Source organism: Homo sapiens, chromosome 12, assembly GCF_000001405.40.
Source record: "Homo sapiens chromosome 12, GRCh38.p14 Primary Assembly".
Classification (NCBI taxonomy): domain Eukaryota; kingdom Metazoa; phylum Chordata; class Mammalia; order Primates; family Hominidae; genus Homo; species Homo sapiens.
Genome location: NC_000012.12, coordinates 132,768,560 through 132,781,931, shown reverse-complemented (window position 1 = coordinate 132,781,931; position 13,372 = coordinate 132,768,560). Strand labels below are relative to the sequence as shown.

The window sequence follows — 13,372 nt, the reverse complement described above, 5'->3', positions numbered from 1 at the left end:
GGGGGGCAGACCTGCTTAGTTGAGGGGTAGACCTTCCATGTGGGTGTGGCTGAGTTCCAGTCCCAGACGGTGACATTGTTTGTAGGGGGCACTTAACAAGAGGTTCACACAATTCAGAACTGGGACTTGAACCCTGACCTGGTTCTCACTCAGCTACTTAGTCTCCACAGCCTCTCTGAATTGAGGACTAGGCTGGGCATTTCAGGGAAATCCTGGGGGCCAAATCGAGCTGCTGGTGTTGACTATCCCATCTTAGTTCCATATTTTGCCCTAGTTCCCACCACTTCTGTTCTTTTTGTACCCGGCTGCAGCCCCTGATTTGTATGTAGTTTTTGAGTTCCCAGCCACCATGTTCCATTTTTTTGTTGTTGTTGTTGTTAGTAATACGGAGTCTCACTCTGTCTCTCAGGCTGGAGTGCAGTGGCACGATCGCGGCTCCCTGCCTCCCGGGTTCAAGCGATTCTCCTGCCTCAGCCTCTGGTATAGCTGGGACTACAGGCGTGCACCACCGCGCCCAGCTAATTTTTCATATTTTTAGTAGAGACAAGGTTTCACTGTGTTAGCCAGGATGGTCTCGATTTTCTGACTGTCATCCGCCTGCCTCGGCCTCCCAAAGTGCTGGGATTACAGGTGTGAGCCACCGCGCCCGGCCCATTCTTTTTTTTTTGAGACAGGGTCTGGCTCTTGCCCGGAGTGGAGGGCAGTGCGGTGGAGGGCACTGCGGTGGTACCATCATAGCTCACTGCATCCTCAACCTCCTGGGCTCCAGCGATCCTCCTGCCCTGGCCTCTGGAGCCGTGGGGCCCACAGGCGTGCCACGTTCTTGAGTGCGGCCCTGTGATCATGCTCCCGCAACCTAGGATTCTGTTTTTGTCACAGATTCTTCAGCAGTGAAGTTCCCTCTACCTCCCTGGCGTGTGCCTGTGATGTGGCGTGTGTCACGTTGCCTGCTGTAGCAGCCTTGTGTGTTTGTAATTCGACGTCCTTCCTTATCTGTCCTCCTGCAATCTGATCTAGGTGCAGGCAGTTTTGCAGCGCAAAGAAGAGGAGGATCGCCAGATGAAGCATCTTGTCCAGGCCCTGCAGGCCTCACTAGAGAAGGAGAAGGAGAAGGTGAACAGCCTCAAGGAGCAGGTGCGTGCCACCTTCCGTCTCACAGGGCGTTCCAGAGGACGCTCCAGTGCCTAGAAATCTATGCAGGGTCCTTCACACACCAGCCTCCTTCCAGCAGTTACACAGAGCAAAGGTGTGTTGCAGTTGTTGGTGACGGAGGCCGCAGAGCACCTGCTCTGGTCCGTAGAAGGTGGCGTTAGATTAAATGGCAGTGCAGCTGTGAGGGCCTGGGGCCAATGAGCTCCGCGTGCATGTGTATTTATATTGTGCTGGGAGTGGTGTCCTGTATGTCGTGTTGCATTGCAAAAGCAAACTTGAGAATAGCATATGATCCCATTTGTGTTCGGCAGATAAGAGGGGTGGTTCTGTGGACCCTTCTCTGTGTAGAGAGCTGTCTTTTCGTGGCTGGCCCCTGCCCTGCTTCAGGTGTTCACTGACACGTTGGTCACGTCGCCAGCAGAGGCCCATCCTGACCCCCAGGTGCCCTGTCTGGGCCCTGCTCCTCTGTTAGAACGCTGCTGCTTGCTGGCTACCTCCGCCATACCTGGCACAGAGCAGCTACTCCTAGTACGCTTGCCGTGTGTGTGCACATGGGGGGTGTGCGTGCACGTGTGCCTGGGGTGTGGTGTGTGTGCACGCGGGGGGCTGTGCATGCAAGTGTTGTGATGTCTGTACACACGTGTGCCTGGGGTGTGTGCACGCGGGGGGCTGTGCGTGCAAGTGTGATGTCTGCACACACGTGTGCCTGGGGTGTGTGTGTGTATGTGCGCGGGGGGGTGTCCGTGCAAGGGCTGTGGTGTGTGTGCGCACGTGTGTGCCTGGGGTGTGTGTGCACGCGGGCTGTGCGTGGAAGGGTTGTGATGTCTGTATACGCGTGTGTGCCTGGGTTGTGTGCATGCGGGGGGCTGTGCGTGCAAGAGTTGTGATGTCTGTACACACGTGTGTGCCTGAGGTGTGTGTATGTGCGCGGGGGGGTGTCCGTGCAAGGGCTGTGGTGTGTGTGCACACACGTGTGTGCCTGGGGTGTGTGTATGTGCACGGGGGGGGTGTCCATGCAAGGGCTGTGGTGTGTGTGCGCACGTGTGTGCCTGGGCTGTGGTGTGTGTGCATGCATTTGATGCTGATGTATATGTAGAAAATTTCTAGGAGGAACACAAGAAATAACTGGTTGTCTCTAGAGAAAGGCAGGAAAGAACACATCACTTTTCCTTTAAATCCCGTTTGAATTGAACTTGTAAAAAAGTAATTGCTTCACAATTCAAACTTTTCGGCCTAACAGTGAAGCTGCTTTCGTTCCTATGACCTGGCTTTGCCACAACCTTTAAGAACTTTTCTATGATAATGTAATTGAGATGAAAAGAAAAAGGTTCTTGATTTTTTTTAAGGGGTGAAACAACAAAGTTTCTTTATAAATAGAATTAATTTTAAGATGTGGCAGGTGGCTGGGCGCGGTGGCTCATGCCTGTAATCCCAGCACTTTGGGAGGCTGAGGCAGGCAGATCACCTGAGGTCGGGAGTTCAAGACCAGGCTGACCAACATGGAGAAACCCTGTCTCTACTATGAATACAAAATTAGCCTGGCGTGGTGGCACATGCCTGTAGTCCCAGCTACTCGGGAGGCTGAGGCAGGAGAATCGCTTGAACCAGGAGGCGGAGGTTGTGGTGAGCCAAGATCACACCATTGCACTCCAGCCTGGGCAACAAGTGGGAAACTCCGTCTCAAAAAAAAAATGTGGCTGGAATATTTTAACAGGAGCAGTTAACAGCTTTCTCTTGGCCCCACAGGCCTCATCCGCCCGGCCGTTTAACCCTGGCCTGGGGCCTGCTGCTGGGCCGTGGTTCAGGCTGGCTCACACGGTGCCCCAGCTCTCCAGCTTTCGCTCCGTGCTTAGGGTTCACTGAATTTTTTTCGGTTTTTTTTTTTTCAGACGGAGTCTCACTTTGTCACCAGGCTGGAGTGCAGTGGCTTAATCTTGGTTCACTGTAACCTCTGCCTCCCGGGTTCAAGTGATTCTCCTGCCTCAGCCTCCCCAGTAGCTGGAACTACAGGCGTGCACCACCATGCCTGGCTAATTTTTTGTATTTTAGTAGAGATGGGGTTTCACCATATTAGCCAGGATGGTCTCAATCTCCTGACCTGATGACCTGCCCGCCTTGGCCTTCCAATTAATTTTATTTTTATTTTTTAAATGTATTTATTTTATTTTATTATTTTTATTTATTTATTTGTTTATTTTTTTGAGATTTTGAGATGGAGTCTCGCTCTGTCGCCCAGGCCGGAGTGCAGTGGCGCGATCTCGGCTCACTGCAAGCTCCACCTCCCGGGTTCACGCCATTCTCCTGCCTCAGCCTCCTGAGTAGCTGGGACTACAGGTGCCCGCCACCACGCCTGGCTAATTTTTTGTATTTTTAGTAGAGACGGGGTTTCCCCGTGTTAGCCAGGATAGTCTCGATCTGACCTCGTGATCCACCCGCCTCGGCCTCCCACAGTGCTGGGATTACAGGCGTGAGCCGCCACGCCTGGCCTATTTATTTCATTTTTGGGACCGGGTCTCACTCTGTCACCCCAGCTGGAGTGCAGTGGCGCGATCACAGCTCCCCTGCAGCCTGGAACTCCTGAGCTCAAGTGATCCTTCCACCTCAGCCTCCTGAGTACCTGGGACCACCATGCCCTGCTAATTTTTTTATTTTTTGTGGAGACAGGGTCTTGCTATGTTGTCCAGGCTGTGAATACACTGGAAGAAGACTATAAAAACTATTTAGACCGAGAAATCTCGAATAAATGTGTTCATTCAACAGATAGCAGCAGCCACATAAGTGTGCACTTGCTGCGTGCCGAGCTCCGGGTCAGGTGGTTTCATCTTTACAAGGAACTTGACAGGCCTGTGGAGAAGCACACGCCGGCAGCCAGGACATGCACGGGGCCGGGAGTGCATTCACCCCCTGCGCCCGGCACGTCATAAAGCTGTGGGTGTCACGCAGGGCATGGACAACGTGGCTTCCTTCCTCCTAGGTGGCTGCTGCCAAGGTGGAAGCCGGGCATAACCGCCGCCACTTCAAGGCGGCCTCCTTGGAGCTGAGTGAGGTGAAGAAGGAGCTGCAGGCCAAGGAACACCTGGTGCAGAAGCTGCAGGCCGAGGCCGACGACCTTCAGTGAGTGCCTGGGCCCCGCCAGCCCTCAAACATGGCTGTCCTGGCAATGGGCGGGGTCTAATTCACACCTTCAGCACAGCGAGGGTCATCTATATTTTGCAAATTGCCGAGTACTTGAGTGAATCATAGGAGTAGAAGGCACCCAGCCTCCGTCTCCAGAATCCTGAGCCTCACTCACTGCCCCGTGTCCTCCCCCCAAGAGAGAAAGCGCCCCAGCAGGAGTACTTAGCTTCAGGTCAGAGGCGGGAAGGGGCGGCCCGGCGCGGGGCTGATGCTGTGGCTCTGTGGGTCCCATGCACTGTGGTCTCGGGGCCGGCACTCTCTGGGATCTGTGAGGGGTGCCGGCAAAGTGAGTCTCTGGGATCTGTGAGGGGTGCCAGTGAAGTGTGAGTCTCAGGTGCTTCGTGAGGACTGCCCGAGTGCACACTGTGGGCACCAAGCATGGCTGCAGCACGCAGTGCACAGCAGAGGGCCTGCCAGGACGAACGCCTTCCACAGGCAGCATTTCCCAGCGGGAGGGCACAGCACACTGGAGGAGCGTGGCGATTCCCTTCTTTCTTGTTTTTTTACGCTAGGATTCGGGAGGGGAAACATTCCCAGGAGATAGCACAGTTCCAAGCAGAGCTGGCCGAGGCCCGGGCACAGCTCCAGCTCCTGCAGAAGCAGCTGGACGAGCAGCTCAGCAAACAGCCCGTGGGAAACCAAGAGGTGACGGTTCACGGGGGCTGGACTTGCAGGGCTGGACTCACGGGTGCCCTGGGTGACTTCACTCCATCCTGCTTGGGGAGCAACAGTGATGGTTTTCTGAATATGGTATTAAAAGATAAACCAAAACACAGCTAGAGCCATTTTCCAGGGCAGTAAAGCCACTTTAATATTCTTTTGGCCATGTGACTTTCCCCTCTTTAGATGGAAAATCTCAAATGGGAGGTGGATCAGAAAGAAAGAGAAATCCAGTCCTTGAAGCAGCAGCTGGACTTGACGGAGCAGCAGGGCAGGAAGGAACTGGAAGGGCTACAGCAGCTGCTGCAGGTACCTGTGTGTGAGGCGCTGGGCACAGGCGGGAGCAGCAGGGAGGAAGGAGCTGGAGGGGCTACAGCAGCTGCTGCGGGTACCTGTGTGTGAGGCGCTGGGCACAGGCGGGAGCAGCAGGGAGGAAGGAACTGGAGGGGCTACAGCAGCTGCTGCGGGTACCTGTGTGTGAGGCGCTGGGTACAGGCGGGAGCAGCAGGGAGGAAGGAGCTGGAGGGGCTACAGCAGCTGCTGCGGGTACCTGTGTGAGGCTCTGGGTACAGGCGGGAGCAGCAGGGAGGAAGGAGCTGGAGGGGCTACAGCAGCTGCTGCAGGTACCTGTATCTGAGGCGCTGGGCACAGGCGGGAGCAGCAGGGCAGGAAGGAGCTGGAGGGGCTACAGCAGCTGCTGCAGGTACCTGTGTATGAGGTGCTGGACACAGGCGGGAGCAGCAGGGAGGAAGGAGCTGGAGGGGCTACAGCAGCTGCTGCAGGTACCTGTGTATGAGGTGCTGGACACAGGCGGGAGCACCACTTCTGGGGCAGCCCCTGGTTCCTGTGCCATGCGGCCTGCGGCCAGGCAGTGCTCCCGGGGAGCTGGCGCCCTCGTCCAGTGGGGCGCTCGCAAAGCCACCTGGTCCACGTCATGCGGCAGGACAGAGGCAGGGGCGAAGCCTGGGCCGGCTCCGATCCCTTGGCCGCGCTGTGTGTCACGGACCAAGAACGTGATTTCATGGACTACAGCAAATGGGAGGGTGCGTGGGAAAAGTTTGCCAATTTGCGATAAACTTCTCAACAAAGAACTCAGGGTTCGGTCTTGACTGCTCGGGAAAGGAGTGTAATTGCTAAGTTCCCCTTGTAAATGAGGGGCTTGAGTTACAGTGAGAATTTATTTATAGACACAGGCCGACAAGCGTCCATCATCCAGAAATCCAAAACCTGGCCAGGCCTGGTGGCTCACACCTGTAGTCCCAGCACTTAGGCAGTGAGCTGTGGTTGGACCACTGCACTCCAGCCTGGATGACAGAGTGAGACCCTGTGTCTAAAAAAAACAAGAACAAAAATCCAAAATCTGAAACTTTCTGAGCATCAACATGATAAAGGAAATGATCATTGGAACATTTCAAATTTTTGGATTGTGGATACTCAGCTGGTAGTTGTAACGCAAATATTCAAAATTCCAAAATTTGACACACTTCTGGTCCTGAGCATTTTGGACCTGGACTGGCATCATCTAGATGGCGCCGAGGAGGACATGTGTGTGCTTAACCTATGAAAATACAAACTCGGATCTTGGCAGGATGTTTAAGATCTGTTAGCTTTTAAAAATCTGACTTCATTTTCCACAGAACGTCAAGTCTGAGTTGGAGATGGCCCAGGAAGACCTGTCCATGACCCAGAAGGATAAATTTATGCTCCAGGCAAAAGTGTCGGAGCTGAAGAACAACATGAAGACCCTGCTCCAGCAGAACCAGCAGCTCAAGCTGGACCTACGCCGCGGCGCGGCCAAGACGGTACTCAGGCCCGCGTCCCTCCCGGGGTAGCCGACGTGCGCTGTAGATGCTCTCGGACAGGAGGCTGGCAGACGTGTTAGTCATTCAGACATAAACGGATTTGTTGAGCCCACACTGAGCAGCTGCTGTGTAGTCAGTGGTAATGGGGTGACAGATGAAATCATTTCATTCTGGTTTCATTCATCCAACAGTGTTTTCCTCGTTCTGTGAATTCAAATACCACTTTGTTGTAATGTGCTTTGTAAAGCAGATGAGCGGTGGTCTGTGACTCGGCAGTCCCTGCTGTGTGTGAAGGGCTGGGGCCCGGGAGCTGTGCCCAGGCGCCCGGCGGTTTTCTGTGCTCGGTCCACATCCATGTTTTCCAGGAGGCAGGTGGGAGGGCAGCGCTCGGATTGAGAGGCCGTTTAGCGTCGTGTGCTTATCTGTGGAAAAAGTTTGAAGTCCCAGAAAAGGGAGCCTAAGCTGGAAAACTTACTTAATTTCTTACGGAAATTCCACATCAAGGTCTTGAGTATCTGATGGGAGAAGCGTCTGGGAGAGCTGTAGTCTGTGGCTCGGCCCCGTCCTGCCGCAGACCCAGGACTTAGGTTGTCTCTGCTTTGCTCTGGTTTTGTGCCTTAGGAATAAAGGTGTTTCCTCAGCCAGCTATTCTGGAGCTCCGGGGACTGTCGTGCTGGGCTGCCACGGCGGCCAGGACGGTCCCCTTCCCAGAGGCCCCACGTCCACCAGTTGGGGAGGCCCGTTTGCCACAAGCTGTGCTAGTGAGACTGACCCGAGGGAGGGGACGGTGGGAAAGCTGATCATGTGCTTTTAAAAACAGAGAAAGGAGCCGAAAGGCGAGGCCAGCTCTTCCAACCCTGCCACGCCCATCAAGATCCCGGACTGCCCAGTTCCCGCCTCGCTGCTGGAGGAGCTGCTGAGACCACCGCCCGCCGTGAGCAAGGAGCCCCTCAAGAACCTGAACAGCTGCCTCCAGCAGCTCAAGTACGACCGTATTCCGTGCTGCACTTCAGCTAGTCTTAAAGATTAATGCCCTCTTACCTGGGAGGGCACTCCTGGTGCCAGTACTGAGTGCCCAGCAGAGTTTCAGCAGGTTTATATAAGGGTGGGGGACTCGCATACATAGCCTCTGAGGTTTATATAAGGGAGGGACTTGCACACACAGCCTTTGAGGTTTATATAAAGGGGGAAGGACTCAGCCTCTGAGGTTTATATAAAGGGGGAGGGGGACTCGCACAGCCTCTGTGGTTTATATAAAGGGGGAGGGACTCACAGCCTCTGCGGTTTATATAAAGGGGGAGGGGGACTCGCACAGCCTCTGAGGTTTATATAAAGGGGGAGGGGGACTCACACAGCCTCTGCGGTTTATATAAAGTGGGAGGGGGACTCGCACAGCCTCTGAGGTTTATATAAAGGTGGGGGAACTCGCACACACAGCCTGTGAACTCATAGGTGGAAACTGCCTGGAGTTAAACTACCCTGATAGGCCCTGAGAAGCTGGAAGGCCACACATGGTGCACCTGGCAGCCTGAGGCTGAGCGAAGTGTGTAGGGCGGAGCCAGGCGGCGCCCCGAGGGCAGGTAACGGAGTGGAAGTCGTGTGTGCCAGGCCTCAGTGACAGCTTCCACCCTGCCGCCTGGTCAGGACTGGTCCTTGAGCCTGTGTCCTCTGCACAGTGTAGAGAACGGTGCTGAGAACAGCTGAGCTTCTGTGGTCTCAGTTGGTTTGCGGATCCCCGAAGGCGCCCCGGTCCACTCAGGTGCTAGCGAGTGACGCTGTCCACAGGTGGCGCGTTCTGCCTGGCACTTGTGTGATCTGGGCCTTCTTCCTCCTTCTTCTGTCCCAGGCAGGAGATGGACAGCCTGCAGCGCCAGATGGAGGAGCACGCCCTGACGGTGCACGAGTCTCTGTCCTCGTGGACGCCGCTGGAGCCAGCCACTGCCAGCCCTGTGCCCCCGGGGGGTCACGCCGGCCCACGCGGCGACCCACAGAGACACAGTCAGAGCAGGGCTTCCAAAGAAGGGCCGGGAGAGTGACTGCTGTGGACTCGCCTCCGTGCGCCGCTGCCCCAGAAGGCTCTTATCAATGTTATTTATTTGATTGTGTGGTCGATGTTTTTCTAAGACATGAAATTTAAGTTTTGTTTTGCCTTTAACAAGAAGTAAAATATATAGCAGAATGAGAGCCAAGGACTAGAAAAACATTCGAAGATCACAATTAGCTTTTCACATGGAATGACCAACTCTTAAAAGCCTGATAGGCTCTCGGCGAGGAGCTTTGAACGTGTCTGAAGGGTTACTTGTAGGTCGTGGCTTCTGAGCGGCCACCGATGCTGCTCTCTGCGGGTGACAGGGAGAGGCTGCGTAACTGGGAGCAGCTGTGTGACAGGGTCTGCGGCACCGCGCCTGGCCAGGCCGGCTGCAGTTTCTCACTTCCCTGTTCCATTCAGTAAGAGCTTTACTTTTCCGCAGAAATGAAATTTTATCTGTACCTTTGGCTTTTTACTTGTTTTTTTGGATAGCCATCCCACCATAGGATGTGTACATAGATACTGAATATCATAATCCAATCTTTGTTTTTTTTTTTTTTTTTTTTTTGAGACAGAGTCTCGCTTTGTTGCCCAGGCTGGAGTGCAGTGGCACACTCTCCGCTCACTGCAAGCTCCGCCTCCCAGGTTCATGCGATTCTCCTGCCTCAGCCTCTCGAGTAGCTGGGATTACAGGCGTGCGCCACTATGCCAGGCTAATGTTTGTATTTTTAGTAGCAATGGGGTTTCACCATGTTGGCCAGGATGGTCTCGATCTCCTGACCTCAAGTGATCTGCCCATCTCAGCCTCCCAAAGTGCTGGGATTACAGGCGTGAGCCCCTGCGCCCGGCCTGTCACCCAGTCTTTAAGAAGCATATGCTCATGTTATTGAAGAAGAACCTACTTATTATTGATTGCCTTTTGAAAATTTGTTGGGAATAATTTACCTGCAGGATTTAGGGATAGTCAGAAAATTCTAAGAAATATAATTATTTTATTTACCTTCTAAAGCCAAATATTCTTACACAGAAAGGTCCTCTGTTGTTCTGGTTTTACTTTGTTGCTGAGGATCTTTCCTTCCTGCTGGTCTCTTCCTCTCAGGCCACTGGCCCTGTGTGATTCCACCGTGGCTGGCCACTGGGAAGGGGCAGCTTGGACCCTTGGTCAGGCCTGACGGCCATCAGGAGGCACAAGGACACTGAGGCCCCATATCTGATCTGACCTTTGGGGGGGCACAGGGAGAGGCCGGTGGAGGAGGAGGAGGAGAGCAGACCAGGGGCTCCCTGCAGCGACTCCCGCGGTTTCCCCTGGAGTCAGCCAGGTGTAGGTCGCAGGCGGTAACAAACCTCACACTCCTGTTCCCCAAGTGAAAATCTTTACCATTGTCTGTGGGAGCGCCTGTACTCGTGTGTAGGAGCACCTGTACTTCTGCAGTCATCGAGAAGTCCTGGATCTTTTGTGGTTACACCAGCATCATGTGGCAAGCAGAGGCGACTTCCGGAAGAGACAGGCAGGCACCGTGAGGAAGGTGGCTGTGCTCTCCCAGGTGTCTCAGAGACAGATGCCTTATTTAAAATCAGCACGACATGTGTGAGATCTTCTGTTTCCTACCCCAAATCCTGAAACCCTGCAGACACTGGCTGACTGGGAGAGGTGGGGTCTGTAAGTTGTCCCCTAGTTTGCTAAGAAAATCTAAAATAATATTTATTATATGAGTTAGGAGAGAGAGAATGGGTCCGCGTGGCCTCCTCTGCAGATGTACTGGTCTGAAATGAGGTTCTGAGTCACTGGCCAGGCCAGATGTGCTCATGTCGGTGTCTGGTGTCTGTTTTGTGGAGAAAACAGTATGGTGTGTTTTAAGCTATTTGTGTTCTGTTGTAATATACTTTTAGAAGGTTAATTGGTAAGGTTAAGGTAGCATTAACCACAAAGATGTTTGGTATTTAAAAAATATTCTCTAGCAAATATTGGAATTTCCAAAATATATCATTTGTACAGGGTTAATTTTGAAATAATACTTGAAAATTTCATTATAAATATATCCTACTTTTTATCTTAAGTTGAAGATGTTATTTACTAAATTGTTCTTGTACCATTAGAAAAAAAAATACGGCAATTTACGTTCTTATTTATTTTGGCTGTACTACCCCTTTGTTTTAATTTTAAAATCAAGAAATCGGGCCGGGCGCGGTGGCTCATGCCTGTAATCCCAGCACTTTGGGAGGCCGAGGCGGGTGGATCACCTGAGGTCAAGAGGTCCAGACCATCCTGGCCAACATGGCAAAACCCCGTCTTTACTAAACATACAAAAATTAGCCGGGTGTCGTAGTGCGCACCTATAATCCCAGCTACTTGGGAGGCTGAGGCAGGAGAATCACTTGAACCCAGGAGGCGGAGCTTGCAGTGAGCCGAGATCGCGCCACTGCCCTCCAGCCTGGGCAACAGAGCGAGACTCCGTCTCAAAAATAAATAAATGATTTTAAAAAATCTAAAATCGAGAAATCACACATTCAGTGGGGAGCGACTTCTCCTTGCTTATGGGAAGTCCTCAAGTGAGTGATGTTCACCATGTATTTTTTTTTCTCTTAGGACAGACTAATTCTGAAAATACCGAAGGAAAAGTAGCTCTATGTTCTCACCCCGGTTTTCCTGCGTGTGTGCCCTTGGGTGCGATGCCTCCCCCAGCGCTCTGTGGTCGCCGGTGCCAGGGCCCCCTCTGGTTTGGCAGGGCCTGGCTGCCTTTGCTCCCTGCAGTGAGTCTTTTGGTGTTTTCATGCACGGCTTGTGCTTCTGGATCTGAGGCCTCTCGTGTTCACGCGGACACTTCCTTCCTTAAGAAGACGCCTAAAAGAGGAAGTTGGAATTTTTTTTTTTTTTTTTTGAGACAGAGTCTCGCTCTGTCGCCCAGGCTGGAGTGCAGTGGCGTGATCTCTGCTCACTGCAAGCTCCGCCATCTGGGTTCAAGCGATTCTCCTGCCTCATTCTCCCCAGTAGCTGGGATTACAGGTGCCCGCCACCACACCAGCCTAATTTTTGTATTTTTAGAGGGGTGGAGTTCCACCATGTTGGCCAGGCTGGTCTTGAACTCTTGACCTCAGGTGATCCTGAGCCTCAGCCTCCCAAAGTGCTGGAATTATAGGCGTGAACCACCGCCCCCGGCTGCAGTTGGATTTTTAAATTGCTTTTTTTTATTGTTGAGGTTTTTTTATCTCCAAGGGACTCTCCCGGCACTTCTACCTTCCAGAGTTACTTCAGTGCATAAAGTTTGAATTATTTTGTTCTTGTGGGCAGAAGTGGGAATGATGGAATATCCTCACGGAAAAGGCAGTGAAGTTGGGAGTACTGCTTACAAAACAGGGTCACCAGTGCATTATGTGGCGTGTTCATCCCCACGCCGTGTGTCACGGGCTAGGGCGGCGTGTTCATCCCCACACCGTGTGTCACAACAGGCTAGGGCACTTCACGATGTCACTACTTGTTTTTCTGATGTTCCAAAAACAACGTAACTTGGTTTTCATGTGTTTTTCCGTGGTATATGTGAGATTGATGCTACGGGTCTTACGGACTCACACCCGTTCCCACTCTCTGCAATATGGATCAGGCAGTGTTTCTGATAGGATGTGAAATGGACTCTCCTCGGGTGGGTCCAGCAGGGGCCCTGCCCACCAGAACACAGTCCGTGCTGTGCTGCGCTAAGGAGCTGGCCCTCAACTCTCCTTGGTGCAGGGTTCCCACAACCGAGTTCTAGTTCCCTGAGGTCTTTAAAAACAAAAACAGAATGTTGTACGTGAAGATTCTAGGAGGGGAGGGACCAGCAAATCTGAGAGAACCGTCCTGGGGCCTCCCTTCGAGGAGCCCTCTGATGTGAGGAGGGACTTGAGTTGAGTGACGCTGTGGTGTGAGGTGTTCTGAGCTCACTGACCGGAAGGTCCAGGTGAATCTCGTCATAAGTGATCTCAGGCTCTCACAGGATCCGGAGGGAAATGTGTTAGAGGGTCTGGAAAATTCAGTGCTTTTGAGTTACTTGTTTTTATTAAAAATTTCCTCACAAAAGAGAGTCCTCAAGTTGTGGCTGTTCTTGGGAAAGGGGTCACCGTGTCTGACAAAGTGTAACTTTAAAAAGCACGTTGATTTTTTACAAATGTAAGTGTGCTTGGGAATTCCTTAAATTTTGTGCAATAAACTATTTTTTGGTAAAGATTTTCATATTCATTGGAAGCTTCATTTTAATAGTTATATTTTGTCGTTTGGCAGTAACTTTTTAATCTCATGTTATTACACACTCTGTTCAACACGTGCTTTAAAAGAGAATTCTACTGTCCTGCCGGTTTCTGGCAGGAGTGAAGCAAACTTCTGTGGCTTGTGACCACGGCAGACGCGCGGCACCGCCTCCTCCGTCCTTGGCCCACGCTTCGCTTTGCCCGTTGTCATTTGCCAGGAATACAGAAGGAGGGGGAGCAAGCTTCCCGGTGAACCGGGGAAGGATGGTGACCGCTCTGTGCTGCGCCTCCTGAACTGGGTCTCATCATCCAGGTGCTGCCCTCTGCTGGGCCT

At 52.7% G+C, this 13,372-nt stretch overlaps 1 protein-coding gene across 17 annotated transcripts in view, besides 3 other annotated features; it reads left to right on the top strand.

The window, feature by feature from the left end:
• The window catches only part of GOLGA3 (golgin A3), a 60,168-nt gene extending 47,150 nt beyond the window's left edge, over positions 1–13,018 (top strand). For all 17 annotated transcript variants that reach the window (NM_001389684.1, XM_047428706.1, NM_001389689.1 and 14 more), the window contains 7 exons: positions 1,018–1,134; positions 4,127–4,266; positions 4,842–4,974; positions 5,176–5,298; positions 6,627–6,791; positions 7,612–7,775; positions 8,638–13,018. In NM_001389684.1, the coding sequence (NP_001376613.1) occupies positions 1,018–1,134; positions 4,127–4,266; positions 4,842–4,974; positions 5,176–5,298; positions 6,627–6,791; positions 7,612–7,775; positions 8,638–8,827 (1,032 nt within the window). In that variant the 3' untranslated portion in view covers positions 8,828–13,018. The remainder of the gene's footprint in view (positions 1–1,017; positions 1,135–4,126; positions 4,267–4,841; positions 4,975–5,175; positions 5,299–6,626; positions 6,792–7,611; positions 7,776–8,637) is intronic.
• Positions 9,931–10,130: an enhancer, noted in NCBI's record as "active region_7390". NCBI's record gives its function as "activates an Ori minimal core promoter by ATAC-STARR-seq in GM12878 lymphoblastoid cells {active_cell/tissue: GM12878}" and the evidence as "EXISTENCE:reporter gene assay evidence [ECO:0000049][PMID:35858748]".
• Positions 12,222–12,391: an enhancer, noted in NCBI's record as "experimental_26051 CRE fragment used in MPRA reporter constructs". NCBI's record gives its function as "activates a minimal promoter by MPRAs in K562 erythroleukemia cells, with activity observed for the non-introgressed 12:133346212 or rs13254 variant allele {active_cell/tissue: K562}" and the evidence as "EXISTENCE:reporter gene assay evidence [ECO:0000049][PMID:34662402]".
• Position 12,306: a transcriptional cis regulatory region, noted in NCBI's record as "Neanderthal adaptively introgressed variant 12:133346212 (GRCh37/hg19 assembly coordinates) or rs13254 in the experimental_26051 CRE". NCBI's record gives its function as "modulates activity of the experimental_26051 enhancer by MPRAs in K562 erythroleukemia cells {active_cell/tissue: K562}" and the evidence as "EXISTENCE:reporter gene assay evidence [ECO:0000049][PMID:34662402]".